At 41.8% G+C, this 16,734-nt stretch overlaps 1 protein-coding gene across 7 annotated transcripts in view, besides 1 other annotated feature; it reads right to left on the bottom strand.

Annotated features, from left to right (window-relative positions):
• The window catches only part of ATP8A2 (ATPase phospholipid transporting 8A2), a 653,878-nt gene that overhangs the window by 566,672 nt on the left and 70,472 nt on the right, over positions 1 to 16,734 (bottom strand). The gene's annotated exons all lie outside the window — the stretch shown is intronic.
• Positions 3,983 to 4,483: an enhancer, noted in NCBI's record as "H3K4me1 hESC enhancer chr13:26028835-26029335 (GRCh37/hg19 assembly coordinates)". NCBI's record gives its function as "activates a minimal SCP1, AML or CMV promoter by ChIP-STARR-seq in naive H9 embryonic stem cells {active_cell/tissue: H9 hESC(naive)}" and the evidence as "EXISTENCE:reporter gene assay evidence [ECO:0000049][PMID:30033119]".

The raw sequence follows: 16,734 nt of genomic DNA, 5'->3' as shown, positions 1-16,734 counted from the left end.
AATCACTTCATCGTCCTCTGGCTTCTCTCTTGAAAATGGTGCTGGATCCATGGAGGGTAGAGATGGGGGCATGGGGAATAGTTGGGATCCTTACACATAAATGCCTTCTGCCTCCTCTGGTCTGCAGAATGACATCCCTGGTCCCCTTGCTGGCATTTGGATTATGTCTGTGACTGGTCTGGCTTGGCTTTGTCAAAGGGCATCTGTGTTCCCTAGATGGCTCTGCCTCACCTGGGCTCCCTCTGCAGAGACTACAGCACCTGCTGTGCTCTCTCTGCCACCTTCTGTCAGCCTCATTCCACAACCCTACCAAGCGAGGTCCCAGAGAGGCCCCAGGAGCTTTCAGATTAGCTCCCAGACCACATGGGAAGCACAAGTAGGCAGTTCAAGAAAACGGGACCTCCCTGTTGCTCCTCAGTATTATCCTCACTTATCCCACACACCTCATCTCTCCAACTGGGAAAACTTTCCCCACGGAGAGAAACATCAAGGTGTATCTCATTACATTGCTTTCTTTCCTCCTCCTGCCTTCCACTCCACCTTCTGGAAATCAAAAACAGGCAAGTGTTTTAATGCACTTCCCTCATGCCATTCTTCTGGATTCCAAACACTCCTTAAAATTATAGTGGCTGGAATTGCAGGTGCGCCCTAACACATGAGGCTTCTGCAGGGCATGGCGAGTGCACCTGTAAATTCCGGCTACTCAGGACGCTGAGGCGGGAGGATTGCTTGAGCCCAAGAGTTTAAGGCCAGCATGGGCAACACAGAAAGACCCTCATCTCAAAAACAAAAAACCTGCTTAGGTATCTCTTCTTTAATGTGGAAAATGTTGAGAGTCAAGCCATCCAACTCTTGTAAGTGTGAGATATTTATAATATAACTATATAAGGCAGATTAATATATACAATTAAGTATTGTATGTATTACAAAGAAGAATTAGTCTACAAAGTCTCCTCGTAAACAAAAGGCTGGCTTGCCTAATCCTGCTATTTTTGAAAGACATACGATGAACACGTCTTGATGTTTCTCTTGACATTCCTTCTAATCTTTCTTGGGGAGGTGGAGGCTCCAAGCAGACGGAAGTCAACAGTCAAGTACAAGAGAAAAACACATTCATTTGCTTCAACTATAGCCCCAGTTTCTCATGCCAATTATCCTGTCCTGTTTGCTTACAATCACTGGTCATATGAACCCAATGCTCTACTTCCATCAGCAGTCTTAACCCACTAAATACATGCAGTCAGATTTGAGCAAGTCACTACAGAGGCCAGCTCATTCACTTTTGTTCCCAACTCCACTGACACAAAATAGACTTCCCCAGTAGGATGGCTTTTCCCGACTCTCTTGTTGAGTTGACATTTTGTGTATCACGTTTTCTTCTCAGACACAGAAGTGAGAAAGTTTAAAATATGAGAAAATCTTTAAAAAGCAAGAGCACTGCCAAAGAGATGCATATGCAATCATCTGAATCCAAGGCCTCCACAACCGACTCAGGGTTGCCAGGTCGATTTGTTGTCTTTGCCATGTCACTAAGGTGCCATAGATGAGTGTGGTAAAAAGCACAACTATTGTTGAGCCTACCACTGTTCTAAGCATTCTGTATGTGTAAATCCATCCAATCCTCATAACAATCATATGAGGAGCATGCTTATTTTTAGAGATAATTTTTTAGAGATAATAAAAATGGGGCAAGGAGTAATGAAGCAACCAGCTCAATGCCCACAGGTGCATTTTTTTGTTACTATAAGAATCATTAATATGATCCTTATCTATATGATCATTGATATGTCCTTTTACCTACATAAATCATCTATCTGACCTTTATATAAATGAGAGTGGCATTTCAAAGAGTTTCCTGAAATAATAAAATATCTGTTGACTAACTGAATCTTTTATCTTTATTAGGTTTTGTGGGGTTGTTAAAAATAAAAGTATACTCCTAGAGTCTATGCATTAAAAAGAAATCCCAGTAGCCATTCCAGACTCACAGGCTTTAGCGGTGGTAGCAGTGATGGTACTGGGTGCTTAAGCCAGGAAAGGCCAAGTCCCAAATACTAAAGATTAACGTATTCTAGAGCAAGCTTGTCCAACTCGTGGCCCACAAGCCACATGTAGCCCAGAACGGCTTTGAACGTGGCCCTACACAAATTTGTAAACTTTCTTAAAACATGATGAGTTTTTGGGGGATTGTTTTCTTTTTTTAGCTCATCAGCTGCCGTTAGTGTTAGTGTATTTTATGGGTAGCCCAAGACAGTCCTTCTCCTTCCAATGTGGCCCAGGGAAGCCAAAAGATTGGACACCCCTGTTTAAGATAGGAACATGTATAAGAATTCAGTAAGTCAAGGAGGCAGGCAAAAAGGCTCAAGCAGACAGGAAGTCATTCCGTCACCATAAATTCTGGGCATTCTGTGTGCATAACGCAGAAGTTAAAAAACCCTCTCCCTGCTTTCAAAGCACTTGTAGTCTGGAGAGGAAACAGACCAATGTGGAAATAACTAAGACAGCTTCGAATGTGGAGTGCTTCCTTTCACCTGGACTTCCTTCCTCTCCGACGGTTCTCTGCCTGCCTACTACTCACCCCTTAAGACACAGCCCAGGCTTTCTCTCCTCTGAGATGTCTTCCCTTGTCGCACACTCTTGGGTTGGGTTAGATCCCCCCTCCTCTATGCATAGGGCCCCAAGGCACAGGTGGGCAGACAGCAATTCCAGAAAGCACATTTCTCAGTCTCACATGACCAACGTAACCATGTGCAGCAGTCCAGTCTGTGCATTTTCCACATTAGAATTATTCTGCTTATGTGTCTGCCTTCCCAGTTAACAAGATGTCCACTTGTATAAGTGTGGACTGTGCCCTACTGATATTACCATTATTAGCACCTGTGAGAGTGGAAGAAGCGGAGACAGTGAGAGCTATGGATGTTCAGAGTCTAAGAGAAAGACGAGTACTTCCAGCTGGGGAAAAGGGTGATTGGTTGGAGAGATTTAAGATGCCTTTTACTGTAAAGTCAGCAACTGGGATTCATCTAAAAGCTTCCAAAGCAAAGGGTAAAGATGGAGAAGAACATCCCGTGCAGTGAGACAAAGCCATGAGCACATATGCTGCAACATGAACAACTATGGTCTGGACTTCCCAGAGTGCCCCCTCCTTTGAGTTTGTGCTCTCCTCCACCCCATAGCCAGATAGACACACAAGAAAGAAAGACCTTCCTAGCTCTGCTTCCCTGCACGACACTTCTCTGAAGAGGAGGGCAAGGAGTAGAGAATGGAAAAACTATTTTGATAGACCAACTATAACAAACCAAAATGATCTAGTAGTGGAAACTTGTACAAAATTACAAGAAAGTAGAATAAGATGTGTTATAACAGATACAAATCAGGTAAGGTGTTGCCACAAAGGAAGGGTCTCTAATTATAAGTCAGAGGGTCTGGGATGCCAAGGAGGCAGCAATTGACCTCAGAAGCAGATTAAAGGAATGAACGGAGTCTGGCAGGTGACTGCTTGGCAGGGATAGGAAAGACAAGAGGCCTGGCATTCTTGGCACTCTTCCTGAATTTATTGAATTTCTAGCTGTATAAATTATTAGCTCCCCCCTTGAATGAAAGGCTTTTAATATCAATGAGCTACGAAATGAAATGTATAAGTTGATACAACCAAATATACTACCTGTACAGTATGATATCCTTATGATCCATAATTCCATGAAGATAAGGTATTATAGGCCTAAGTAATAAAAGCATTGTGCTGCTCCTGGGCAGAGCTCACCATTCTGCCAAAGGCACTACTTACAAATGAGCCAAGTATTACAGAACCCTGATGGAAAGGTGCCAAGCTCTCACTAATGTCTGACATACAATCTTGAATCATAGCTGAGTGTCTATGGCACACTCGACTCTACATACACTGCCAACGCACTAGCAGCAAGGAGGGCCACAATCAAGGAGTCTCGTATCAGGTCCAGAGCTCCCTTTTTCTGTGCTGACAGTCAGAGGCTGGGCCACACCCCTGTATCAGGAGACATTGCTGTGGGGCACAGTGAGGGGGAGAAGCAGTAATCAAGGGATTATATCCCTCCAGAGTTTAGGAACACCCTCTGAAACGGAACTCCATGCAAACTACAGACAAAATGGATTTACTTATAAAATGCGAAACACCAGCCACTCTAACAGAAGATCAGTAAATGTGATGCTTCTAAGACCAGAGTATCTCTTAAAATTCTACAAGTAGTTAAAGCCATTGTTTTGTTTGTTTTTGTTTTTTGAGACGGAGTCTCACTCTGTCGGCGAGGCTGGAGTACAGTGGCGTGATCTCGGCTCACTGCAACCTCCACCTCCTGGGTTCAAGCGATTCTCCTGCCTCAGCCTCCCAAGTAGCTGGGATTACAGGTGTGTGCCATCACGCCTGGCCAATTTTTGTATTTTTAGTAGAGACGGGGTTTCACCACGTTGGTCAGGCTGGTCTCGATCTCATGACCTCGTGATTCACCCACCTCGGCCTCCCAAAGTGCTGGGATTACAGGCGTGAGCCACCGCGCCCGGCCAAAGCCATTGTTAAGAAGGCAACTGTGCCACTGGCTCTACACTGCCAACCCAGTATGAGAGGGTCCCATCGGATGGGCAGTGCGGTCTGAGACCTGCCCTGCCCAGCTCTGCTTGCTTCTCTCGTTTCTGTCACAGCCATCAGATCAACGTCGCCACATGAAGGCTTTCTGGGCCCAATCCCACCCCCTCCCCATCTTCATCGTTCAGAGAGGTTGTCCCCAGTAAACCTCTCTTACTCCTAACTCCATCTCTGTCTGCTCGGCAGAGGACCTGAGTTGATGCTTCTCCTCTAGCTCCAGCTGACATGTTCACACTCATGAAAAGACAGTTTCTAGTTTGATTTGAATAATGACAACAGCACTTGAGCAACTGCTAGATGGTGGGTTGATGACAGGCATGCCGATGGCAAAGCAAGTAAAGTACACATCACATCTGCCAAGAGAGAGCCCAGCCACAAACAACACAGGGAGCCAAACGCAAAGAGACCACGCAGTTCGCCCCTGAGTGACATGCTCCACAGTGCCAAGAGACCATGCAGTTCACTCCAGAGTGACACATTCCACAGTGCCAGTTTAGCAGTCGCAACCTCATTATGACTAACCATCCTACCGCTCATCTATTTCTTTGCTGCCAACTACCAAACCAGTTCCTTTCCTCCCGCCACAGCCCTCCCCACTCATCAGTGAAACCCATAGCTTGTATCTAAACAAGGAAACAGAATTTCAATACCAGCTTCAGGAAAATCTATCAAAAAACACAGATCTGTACCCAAATTCACTGTACCCTAAAGCTAAGTATTAACACCTCACCTGCCTATTTCTTAGCCCTCTGGCAAACTTTTCCCAACCTCCTGGGACTTAGGAATCAAAAACCCTGTCAAGAAATGTAGTTCATTTCAGAAAGTTCTTCACAAAATCAAAACACTTTTCTTATAGAACGTTAGTCTTTCTTTAGAAGCAAAGCACATATTTAGTTTACATTTGTTTCTAATAAGATTAATAGGCTAGATACAACCCCACCTCAGATTAGGGACGAATAGAGGAAAACAAATGGCTACAGGCAGGCACCCTAGTCACTAGTCAGAAATGACAACTCAGGCAAGAACTAGCACAGAAGAATAAAAGCACACAAGCCAATCCCGAGGCCATAAGCCGTAAAACCCCAGCCATGAAGACAGCCCTGCTTAGACACAATGTAATCCCTGGCATTCACACTTACCATCTTGAGTCATTAAGAAAAGTTCTCCCAGTACTTTGGGAGGCTGAGGCGGATGGATCACTTGAGGTCAGGAGTTCGAGACCAGTCTGGCCAACGTAAGGAAACCCCTCTTTACTAAAAATACAAAAATTAGCTGGGCGTGGTGGCAGGCGCCTGTAATCCCAGCTACTCGGGAGGCTGAGGCAGGAGTATCATTTGAACCCAGGAGGTGGAGGTTGCAGTGAGCCGAGATCATACCATTGCACTCCAGCCTGGGCAACAAGAGCGAAAACTTCGTTTCAAAAAGAAAAGAAAAGAAACGTTCATATAACACTATTTTTTGTTTTTTAAAGACGGAGTCTCACTCTGTCACCCAGGCTGGAGTGCAGTGGTGTGATCTCTGCTACTGCAACCTCTGCCTCCTGGGCTCAAGCGATTCTCCTGCCTCAGCCTCCCAAGTAGCTGGAATTACCGGCGCCCACCACCATGCATGGCTAATTTTTGTATTTTTAGTAGAGACAAGGTTTCCCCATGTTGCCCAGGCTGGTCTCAAACACCTGGCCTCAAGTGATCCTCCTGCCTCAGCCTCCCAAAGTGCTGGGATTACAGATGTGAGCGATCCTCCCAGCCTACCCTAAGTTATTTTTAATTCAAAAGTTTCCTATTAAGTTTTTAAAAATTAAACGTTTAATTTCAAAAGTTTAAAGTTGCATTTTCAAGCCTCAACCTTACCTACTTAATTCAGTACCTATTGATGAAGCTAAAAAATATATTTACTGTTTTAAATATTTGAGATCGTCCCAGAAATATAAAATGTCTAATATAACATACAATAATGTATCTTAAATACATCTGTGTCTATAAGTGCTTTTATAGCCAGTGAATTACTAATGTATACTTAATACAGCCTGAAACGGGGTATCAATCTTTAATAGTGCTTTTCTCAAGAAAACTATATTGATATTTGACTTACACAAAAATATCACAGCCAAGCGGGAATAAAAAAAACAGTCATAATGTTACAAGGAGAGGAAAGCATCTAAATAGAAAAAAAAGTATTTTGGTGAAGAAGAGATTGAGAATCCTTCAACCCTGTTGCACCTAAGGAACAGGACATGACCTCCGCTCTGTGTGCGCTCAGCCCGTGGTGGTGGGACGATGCCAGAGGGGAATGTGGGTGGTCACCCGTTTTTCCATTCCCTGCGTCTACCATCTGAGCTGGGTTGTGACCTTCCCGCTCTCCAAGTTCTCTCACTCAAACCTGTGGACTTTTTTAAACTCATGAAGGTTAGGCCAGGCACGGTGGCTCACGCCTGTAATCCCAGCACTTTGGGAGGCTGAGGTGGGCGGATCACAAGGTCAGGAGATCGAGACCATCCTGGCTAACACGGTAAAACCCCGTCTCTACTAAAAATACAAAAAATAACCAGGTGTGGTGGCAGGCGCCTGTAATCCCAGCTACTTGGGAGGCTGAGGCAGGAGAATGGCGCGAACCCAGGAGGCGGAGGTCACAGTGAGCCGAGATCACGCCACTGCACTCCAGCCTGGGCAAAAGAGTGAGACTCCATCTCAAAAAAAGAAAAAAAAAAAACCATGAAGGTATATTTGCTTTTAGGAAAGGATACCTTTTCCCCTTTTAAACTCTACATTGAGATTCTGAAAACTGAACCCAGTGGGACACCTGTGGTTTTGGTCTGGGGTGACTTTTCACTATTGTAAAACAAAACAAAACTCCATGTTAGGTGACATCCAAGCAACTGACTCCCTCAACCTGTACTGTAGTGAACCTACGAAGTCTAAGCTAACTTAAAAGACAAAAAAAATTGCACATCAATTACCAAGGAAATAGAAATTAAAATGACATTATCTTACCACACAAATCGACAAAGTAAATACTAATTGGATTTCTGTTTCTGACCATGAGGGTGTAAGGAGGTATAGACTAGCCATTCCACTCTAACAACTAGACAACAGGAAAAGGGATAGGAAACAACTATTTTCTGATATCAAACAATAGGCAGGATAGAAAAGCAATCCCCAAGAGAAGAGAAACAAACAAAATGAGTGCTAGGATCGCACTCTCTTTCTAGCTGAAAATGATTTCTGAGCCAAAGCACAGTGAGAGGGGAACTCAAACAAAAACCTTGCAGTCTTGCTGAATTGAATTTGTAATGGAAACTAGAACACCTGAAATGAAAACGACACTATGTGGGATTAATAGCAGATTAGGCACTGCAAAGGGAAGGATGCATGAATTTGAAGACAGCAATAGAAACTCTCCAAAAAGAAGCACCAGAAGAAAAATAGTAACAGAGCATCGGTGACCTACGAGACAACCTCATGGGGGTCTAATGCATTACATAATTGGAGTCCCAAGGGAAAAAGGGGTTAGAGAGGAAAAGGACATAAATATCTGAAGAAGCAATGTGGAAAAATATTTCCAAATTTGCTGAAAACCATAAACCCAAAGGTCCAGAAGCTCAATGATCACCAAACAAAATATTTTTTAAAAACACATCAAGGCCCAGCACAGTGGCTCAAACCTATAATCTCAGCATTTTGGGAGGCTGAGGCAGGAGGATCACTTGAGCCCAGGGGTTTAAGACCAGTCAGGGCTGGGCGCGGTGGCTCAAGCCTGTAATCCTAGCACTTTGGGAGGCCGAGGTGGGCAGATTACGAGGTCAGGAGATTGAGACCATCCTGGCTAACATGGTGAAACCCCGTCTCTATTAAAAATACAAAAAATTAGCCGGGCATGGTGGCGGGCGCCTGTAGTCCCAGCTACTCGGGAGGCTGAAGCAGGAGAATGGCGTGAACCCGGGAGGCGGAGCTTGCAGTGAGCCGAGATCACACCACTGCACTCCAGCCTGGGCGACAGAGCGAGACTCCGTCTCACACACACACACACACACACAAAGACCAGTCAGAATGGCTCTTGGTAAAAAGTAAAAAAATAACAGATCCTTGCGAAGTTGTGGAGAAAAAGGAACACTTATACACTTCTGGTTGAAGTGTAAATTAGTTCAGCCATTGTGGAAGCCAGTGTGGTGATTCCTCAAAGATCTAAAGACAGAAAAATACCATTCAACCCAGAAATCCCATTACTGGGTATATACCCAAAGGAATTTATATCATTTTATTATAAAGACACATGCACGCATGTTCATTGCAGCACTGTTCACAATAGTAAAGATATGGAATCAGCCTAAATGTTCATCAATAGTAGAATGGATAAAGAAAATGTGGTACATATATACCATGAAATACTATGCACCACAAAAAAATTAGATCATGTCTTTTGCAGGAACATGGATAGAGCTTGAGGCCATTATCCTTAGCAGACTAACACAGGAACAGAAAACCAAATACCGCATGTTCTCACTTATAAGTGGGAGCTAAATGATGAGAACACATGGACACAGAGAGGAACAGCACACACTGGGGACTTTAGGAGGGTGGAGGGTGGGAGGAGAGACAGGATCAGGAAAAATAGCTGATGGGTACTAGGCTTAATACCTGGGTGATAAAATAATTTGTACAACAAACTCCCATGACACAAGTTTACCTATGTAACAAACCTGCACTTGTACCCCTGAATTTAAAATAAAAGTTTAAAAAAACAGAAATATTACAAGGGCAAAAAAGCACATTTCATCATGATAAAGGGGTCAACTCACCAACAGGAATTGATAATCCTAAGCATTTATGCATTTAATAACAGATATATAATGGAAAACTAATAGATCTGCAAGTTGAAATAGAAAAACCCGCAATTATACTTGGAGATGTCAATACTTCTCTCTCAGTAATTGATACAACACAGAGAAAGAAAATAAATAGTGATACACAAGATGTGAGCAAGACTCTGAAGCCCCTGGACACAGCTGACACTTAGGGAACACTCCATCCCACAAGTGAAGATGCACATGGACCCCTCCACAAGATACACCACAATCTATAGCATACAACAAGTCTCAGCACATTTAAAGGAACTGAAATAACATATGGCCTCTAACCACAATCACAAATCAATAGTAGAAAGCTCTCTGGGGAATCTCCATACTTTGAAAATTAAACAACACGTTTCTAAACTGTAGGGTAAACAAAGAGGATTTTTAAAAATCAGGAAATATTTCAAACTGAATAAAAATAAATATCAAAATTTGTGTGATATAACTTAGAAATCTATAGCTTAAATGCTTACATTAGAAAAATAGAAAGGTCTAAAATAAAGACGCTTTCTTTAAAAACTAGAAAAAGAAGAACAAATTATAAACTCAAAGGAGAGCAAAAAGAGAGAAAGATGAGAAGGGAAGCCAATAAGAAAAGGAGCAAACAAGAAAATTAAAGTCAGAATTGGTTCTTTGAAAAGATCTTTCTAAATAGATTTATCTTAGGGAAATCATGAGGATTTTTTTTGGCAGTATTGTTTATAATAGCAAAAAGTCAGAAATTACTAAGAACTTTAAGAACTTTATTGGCTGGGCACGGTGGCTCACGCCTGTAATCCCAGCACTTTGGGAGGCTGAAGCAGGTGGATCACCTGAGGTCAGGAATTTGAGACCAGCCTGACTAACATGGTGAAATCCCTTCTCTACTAAAAATAAAAATTAAAAAAATACAAAAATTAGCCAGGGCTGGTGGCAGGTGCCTGTATTCCCAGCTACTCAGGAGGCTGAGAAAGGACAATCACTTGAACCTGGGAGGCAGAGGTGGCAGTGAGCCAAGATCATGCCACTGCACTCCAGCCTGGGTAACAGAGTGAGACTCTGTCTCAAAAAAATAAATAAAATAAAAAGAGCCTTATTAAATTATCCTCTGTCTTCATGAGACTACTATGCAGCTATTTAAAATGCTACAAAAGAATATGTAATAAACTTGGAAAATATTCATGAGACCGTAGACAAAACATGTTATAAAATATGACACCATTTCCCCCACTTTTACAGAAAGGTTATTTGGGCAGATTAAATATTAGAATGATCTAGGCTTATTCAGAGTGATTTATTTTCCTTAAGTGTATCTCCCTCAGTTTTTTTCTGTTGACTTTATGTGTATTTTTAAATTACAAAATTAATTTTACTCCAAATATTAGCCAAAACTCTTCAAACAAAAACTAAGCTTTAAGTTTCCCTCTGAAATGTTCCATTAAAATGAGCTCTAGTGTTTGACAGCACAATAGGGTGACTATAGTTAACAATAATTTATTGTATATTTCAAAATAGCTAGAAGAGCATATTTTGAAGGTACCCAATAATATGGACAGGAAGCAGAGGAATACTAGGTAGAAAAGGACAGAGTCCCTGGCAAGGGTTCCACCCTCAAGCCTGGACCCATGGCCCTAAATGAGGGCTTCACATCCCCGTTTTCCAGCCCAAATGTCACCTTTTGGCACACCACACCCCATCCTGTGCCCATAAAGTCCCCAAGATCCACTGGTAGAGGAACAAAACAGCATGGCAGAGAAGGCAAGAAAAGAAGCATCTGAACATTGAGAGGCAGCTGGACATCAAAGACTACGGTTGGAGACATGTTTGGCTAGGGATAGTCTGAGAGGACTTCCTCCCTCTCCAGAGGAAAATTATCTTCCCACTCCATCCCCTCTCCAGCTCCCCATCCCACTGAAAGCCACTTCCACTGCTCAGTAAAATCTCTGCATTCACCATCCTTCGAGTCCATGTGACCTGATTCTTCCTGGACACTGGACAAGGACCCATGTACTGAAATGGCAGAGTACAAGGCTGTCACCCTGACCCTCCACTGAGCTGATTTAACACTTAGCCATCTGTGGACAGCAAATGCTAAAAGAGCACTGATTGTAACACACGCCCTCTGGTGCTCCAGAGGTTGCAGACAACCCCTAGACACTGCCATGGCTGGTACTGGATTTGTTCCTACTGGTGCCCAAAGGCACTCACCCCAGCTCCTGCACCTGCTCCCTGTGAGCTTCCCATTCCACAAGGGGCTTCAGCATGGCAGCCAAGTAAATGAGCCACCCCCATCACAAGTCCCACGAGGGGGTCAAGGGAACTCTCCCATCTCACCAACACAGAGAAATGATAAATGTTTGAGGTGATAGATATGTTAATTACCCTGATTTGTTCATTACCCATTGTGTGCATATATCAAAATAACATGTACCCCATAAATATGTACAATTATGTACCGATTAAAAAAAGAAAAAAAGTTTTTACTTAACAATTAAGGTGAGATGATCTAGCGTGCAAACCCCAGGTTAACCCCCCAAAAATTATTTGTCAAAACCTAAATATCTCTGCTATTTTACTGAGAAGGAAAGATATTATTTAGAACAAAGATGAAAATTTTAGTTTGTTTGCTTAGTCTAAAAAGCAATTTGAAGTTAACATTTAACGCAATTAGGAATGTTCTAATTGTTTTATTGTTGTTTAGAACTAGGTTTAAGGCCAGGTGTGGTGGTTCATGCCTGTAATCCCAACACTTTGGGAGGCTAAGGTGGGAGGATTGCTTAAGCATGGGAGGTCAACGGTGCAGTGAGCCATGGTTGCGCCATTGCACTCCAGCCTGGATGACAGAGCAAGACCTTGCCTCAACAAAACAAAACAAAACAAAACAAAATCCTAGGTTTATAAAAATCAAAGTTCTCTTATATAAACCTCTAAGACTTCTGTATGACATTTAGGGGAAATTTTTATTATTCTTTTCTGCTTAGCAAAAAATATTTTGTTCAGCTATAGCCAGATTTATTTTAGATAAACTTTGGATTTGTAATGTTCTTCTCACAATAAATATTTCATTCAATGAGAAACTTCATAAAAATACCAAATGATTCAGTACCGCAGTCTCATTAGAAGAAGATCTGGGGTTGGCAAAGTGATTTAGTTCCAAAAAAGATAATGGAATGAACAAAAAACTCAATGTACTGCGGGCGTGGTTCCAGGCTTTGGAACCCTAGGCAGAAGCATTTGTCCTGATCAGTTACACAAGTTACAAATTAACTTACTCAGCATATTTGAATGCCTATGACAGTAAACTAATCTTCTCATTTGAGGGTGAGGGAGGGGCAGGCAGCAGTCTGAAGAGCAGATACATGAAGAGATTTAAAACAAATTCTGCGCTCATTTGGGGAAGAGGGGGCTAGGTGAAAGATAAGTGGTAAACATAAATATACATTCTCTGTGGCATTCCAAGCACCATTAGAGTTATGAGCCATGCATTCAGAAATAGCACAGCTGGTCTTTCTCTGAATTGGGGGTGGGCAGGAGACAATGACGGCAGGCCTGGACGGACAGCCAGGGGAGCAGAGACTGATAGGACAGCCCAAGGGTGAAACTGAAGTCTCAGGAAGGCCATCACTGACATTCAGAGCACTTACAGCGCTCTATGGATAATTGCACATCCCATATCTCTCTCTGTCTCTCTGTTTCTCTCAGGCACACTCCACGCACGCTATCATTTACAGCAATCCCATGGTGTACACATAAACTTCATTTCATAGATAGGAATCTGATTAGTTGACCAACCGGTCCAGGTTCCCAGTAAGTAGTAGCGCTGGGAAGGAGGTCAGCCTTCAAGCTCCTCATCACTGCCTGTCTTGTACCCTCACTGGATGACCACCACTGGGTTCTCATCTGCAGGCATCAATCTCACCCCATCACCCTTCTTGGTCTTCGCTAATCCACCAAGCCCGTGCATGCATTTACTCCTATTCTGCCCAAAGTCTCCTCCCCACACCCAGCCACCATCTACCACCATCTACAGGAATCTTAATCATTATTTGACGCCAATGAGTCCTCCTCTGTAAAATTCAAATGGTATTTTTCTCACATAGTCTCTATTTAAGAAGCATAGTAAGAGTTTACATCAGGACATAAAGAGGTATATTTTGGCTAAAATTTTTTTTAAAAATCAATATTTGAGTAAAGTCAGCATTCCTGAATGCAGTCAATAAAACCACTGGCTACTTTGTGCTGGGAATATTGTAGTGCCTGAAAACAAAGATGAATGAGACAGCTGCTGTCCTTCACTGATCCTCCAGGGCAGGGATAAAGGAGACGAGGCTGCAAGTAATTTCCGAAGAGAACGCCAGGTGCTACCAGGAGCTTAGGTACCACAGGAGGGGTTTAGATTTCAAAGTTGTTTAAACTTAATGCTTTTATTCTTTCAAATAAAAGCATCTAATTCAACCTATTTTAATTGAGCTAACTGTATTAATACCTTTAAAATCATTCCAAGGGAGGCAAAGTTTTCTTAAACACAATGCAAAAGCAATAAAGAAAGAAAATGTGATACATTTGACTTCATTAAAATCAAAAACTTCTGCTTATTGAAAGGTATTAGTAAGAGGAATAGGGAAATCACAGGCTGGAAAAATATATTTGTAATACATGTATCTGATGCTTGCATCCAAAATAAAGAACGCATGTAAAACAATAAAGAATGTGAAAAGCAAATGTGCAAAAGGCTTCAACATGTTATTCACAAGAAGATACCCAAATGGCCAATAAACACATGAAAAGATGCTCGGGGCCGGGTGTGGTGGCTCACACCTATAATCCCAGCACTTCGGGAGGCTGAGGCAGGTGGATCATCTGAGTTTGAGACCAGCCTGACCAATATGGTGAAACCCCATCTTAACTAAAAATACAAAAATTAGCCAGTTCTGGTGGCGGGTGCCTGTAATCCAAGCTATTCTGGAGGCTGAGACAGGAGAATTGCTTGAACCCAGGAGGCAGATGTTGCAGTGAGCTGAGATCACACCATTGCACTCCAGCCTGGGCGACACAGTGAGACTCTGTCTCAAAAACAAAACAAAACAAAAAAAAAAAACAGATGCTTGATATCATTACTCATTAGAGGAATGCAAATTGAAACTATAAGGAGATATCACTGCACACCCATAAGTATGGTTTAAAAAGAAGAGCAACTCCTCACATTCTCCAGAATGTGCAACAGATGCTGGAGAGAATGTAAATTAGTTCAGCCACTTTAGAAAACTCTTTTGGCGGTTTCTAAGAGTTAAGTATACATCTACCTTATGATTGAGTTAATTCTACTTCTAGGTATTTTATCCAAGGTAAATTAAAAGTTACGTCCACAAAAATTCATACAAGAACTTTATTCACATTAGCAGAAAAAAAAAGGAAGCAACCTACATATCCATCAGCAGGGAAATGGATAAACAGGTGGGGATCAATCACACAGCAGAATACCACACACCACTGATCTCACAGACTGAATCTGCTGACCAAAAGAAGTCAGACCAAAAAAGTGCATACTGTACAATTCCATTTATATGACATTCAAAGGCAAACTAATCTATGGATGAGAAAAATCAGAACAGTGATTGCACTTGGCAGGAAGGGGATTGTCTGGGAAGGAGCAAGAGAGATCTAGAAGATCTAACCTAGAAGGGGTAAATGGAACTAGGCTATATTTTTATTTGGGTGTTAGTCACAGGTATATAAAAATGCATTCAGGTATGTACCTTACATTTATATACTTTATGCTAAATCTCAAAAATAAAAGACATTTAAAAATAAAATATGCCAAATGCATTTATCATTTAAGTGGCTTATTTTACTTATAATATTCTATCACTCAATGGATATTTGCTGATCACCTACTGGGTGCCAGGCACCCTTCTAGGCATGAGAGCCACAACAAGGAACAAAACAGATATAATTCCGTGCCCTCATGTAGCCTATGTTTTAGGGAGGAAAGAGAGACAATAAACAAAATAAACAAATAATTTATGCAGTATTTTATAAAGAGAAAAGTAAAGAACAAAAAATCCCAAAAGGGAATGGGGATAGGGAATGTAGACTACAATCTCAGCATTGCCCATGTAAATGGCTGTTTAACTTGAATCATGATAGGCGTGTATAACACATTCCATGTGTAGTTTGTTTTTTAAAATTGCATTTCTATTTGATCATTGTGAAGTATGATCCACTCACATTACATACTTAGAACAGCAGTTGTCTCACCTTGCATATTACCTTTATCTAAAATTAACTTACTATCCTTCTTTCTTTTTTACTTTGTCAGACAGAGTTTCTATTATTTATGAAGCACTCAAGGGAGGAAAAATCCAACAAAGCTCACGTTTACCCTTCACCATATCTCAAGGAGATGGCAATACTTCTTCCTAGGAAACTTTTCATGTTAAAGTAAATAGAAAATTCCATCTGAAGTGAAGATTAATCACTATAGGTTGCTATCACTTCAAACTCAACTTTTATTCAGTAGGTTTCATTTGCTATACATAATGGCACAACAAGAAAAATAATCCATCTCACAGTTATAAGGATGAAATTAAACCGTAAAAAACAGTCTATTGAATTTGGCAATGATTTCTTAGATATGATACAAAAGGCACAGTCAACAAAAGAAAAATAGACAAATTGGACTTCATCAAAGTTCAAAAAATTGTGCAACTATTAATACTATAAACAGAGGAAAAAGGCAACCACGGAATGAGAGAAAATATTTGCAAATCCCACATCTGATAAAGGATTAGTATCTAGACTATACAGAGAACTCCTAAAAAGTATCAACAACAACAACAAATTGACAGAGTCTTGCTCTGTCACAGTACTTGAATGGTCAAATATTTCACAGTAGATTTTAAAATGGGCAAGGGACTGGCATAGACATTTTTCCAAAGAAGATATGCAAGTAAATGGCCAAAAAGCACATGAAAAGATGCTCAACATGAACTAATACTCAGGGAAATGCAAATCAAAAGTACAATGAGATACCACCTCACACCCGCAGCACTTTGGGACGCCGAGGCTGGAGGATCACTTGAGCCTAGAAGTTCAAGAACAGCCTGGACGACATAGCAAGACTCCTCCTATCTCTACAAAAAAATTATTTTAATTAGGCAGGTACGGTGGTGTGCACCCATAGTCCCAGCTACTCAGGAGGCTGAGGCAGGGAGATCACATGAGCCCAGGAGTTTGAGGCTACAGCGAGCCATAATTGCACCACTGCACTTCAACGTGGGTGACAGAG

This window comes from Homo sapiens, chromosome 13 (assembly GCF_000001405.40).
Source record: "Homo sapiens chromosome 13, GRCh38.p14 Primary Assembly".
Classification (NCBI taxonomy): Eukaryota; Metazoa; Chordata; class Mammalia; order Primates; family Hominidae; genus Homo; species Homo sapiens.
Note: the sequence above shows the minus strand (reverse complement) of the source record. Positions and strands in the feature narration are given on the sequence as shown.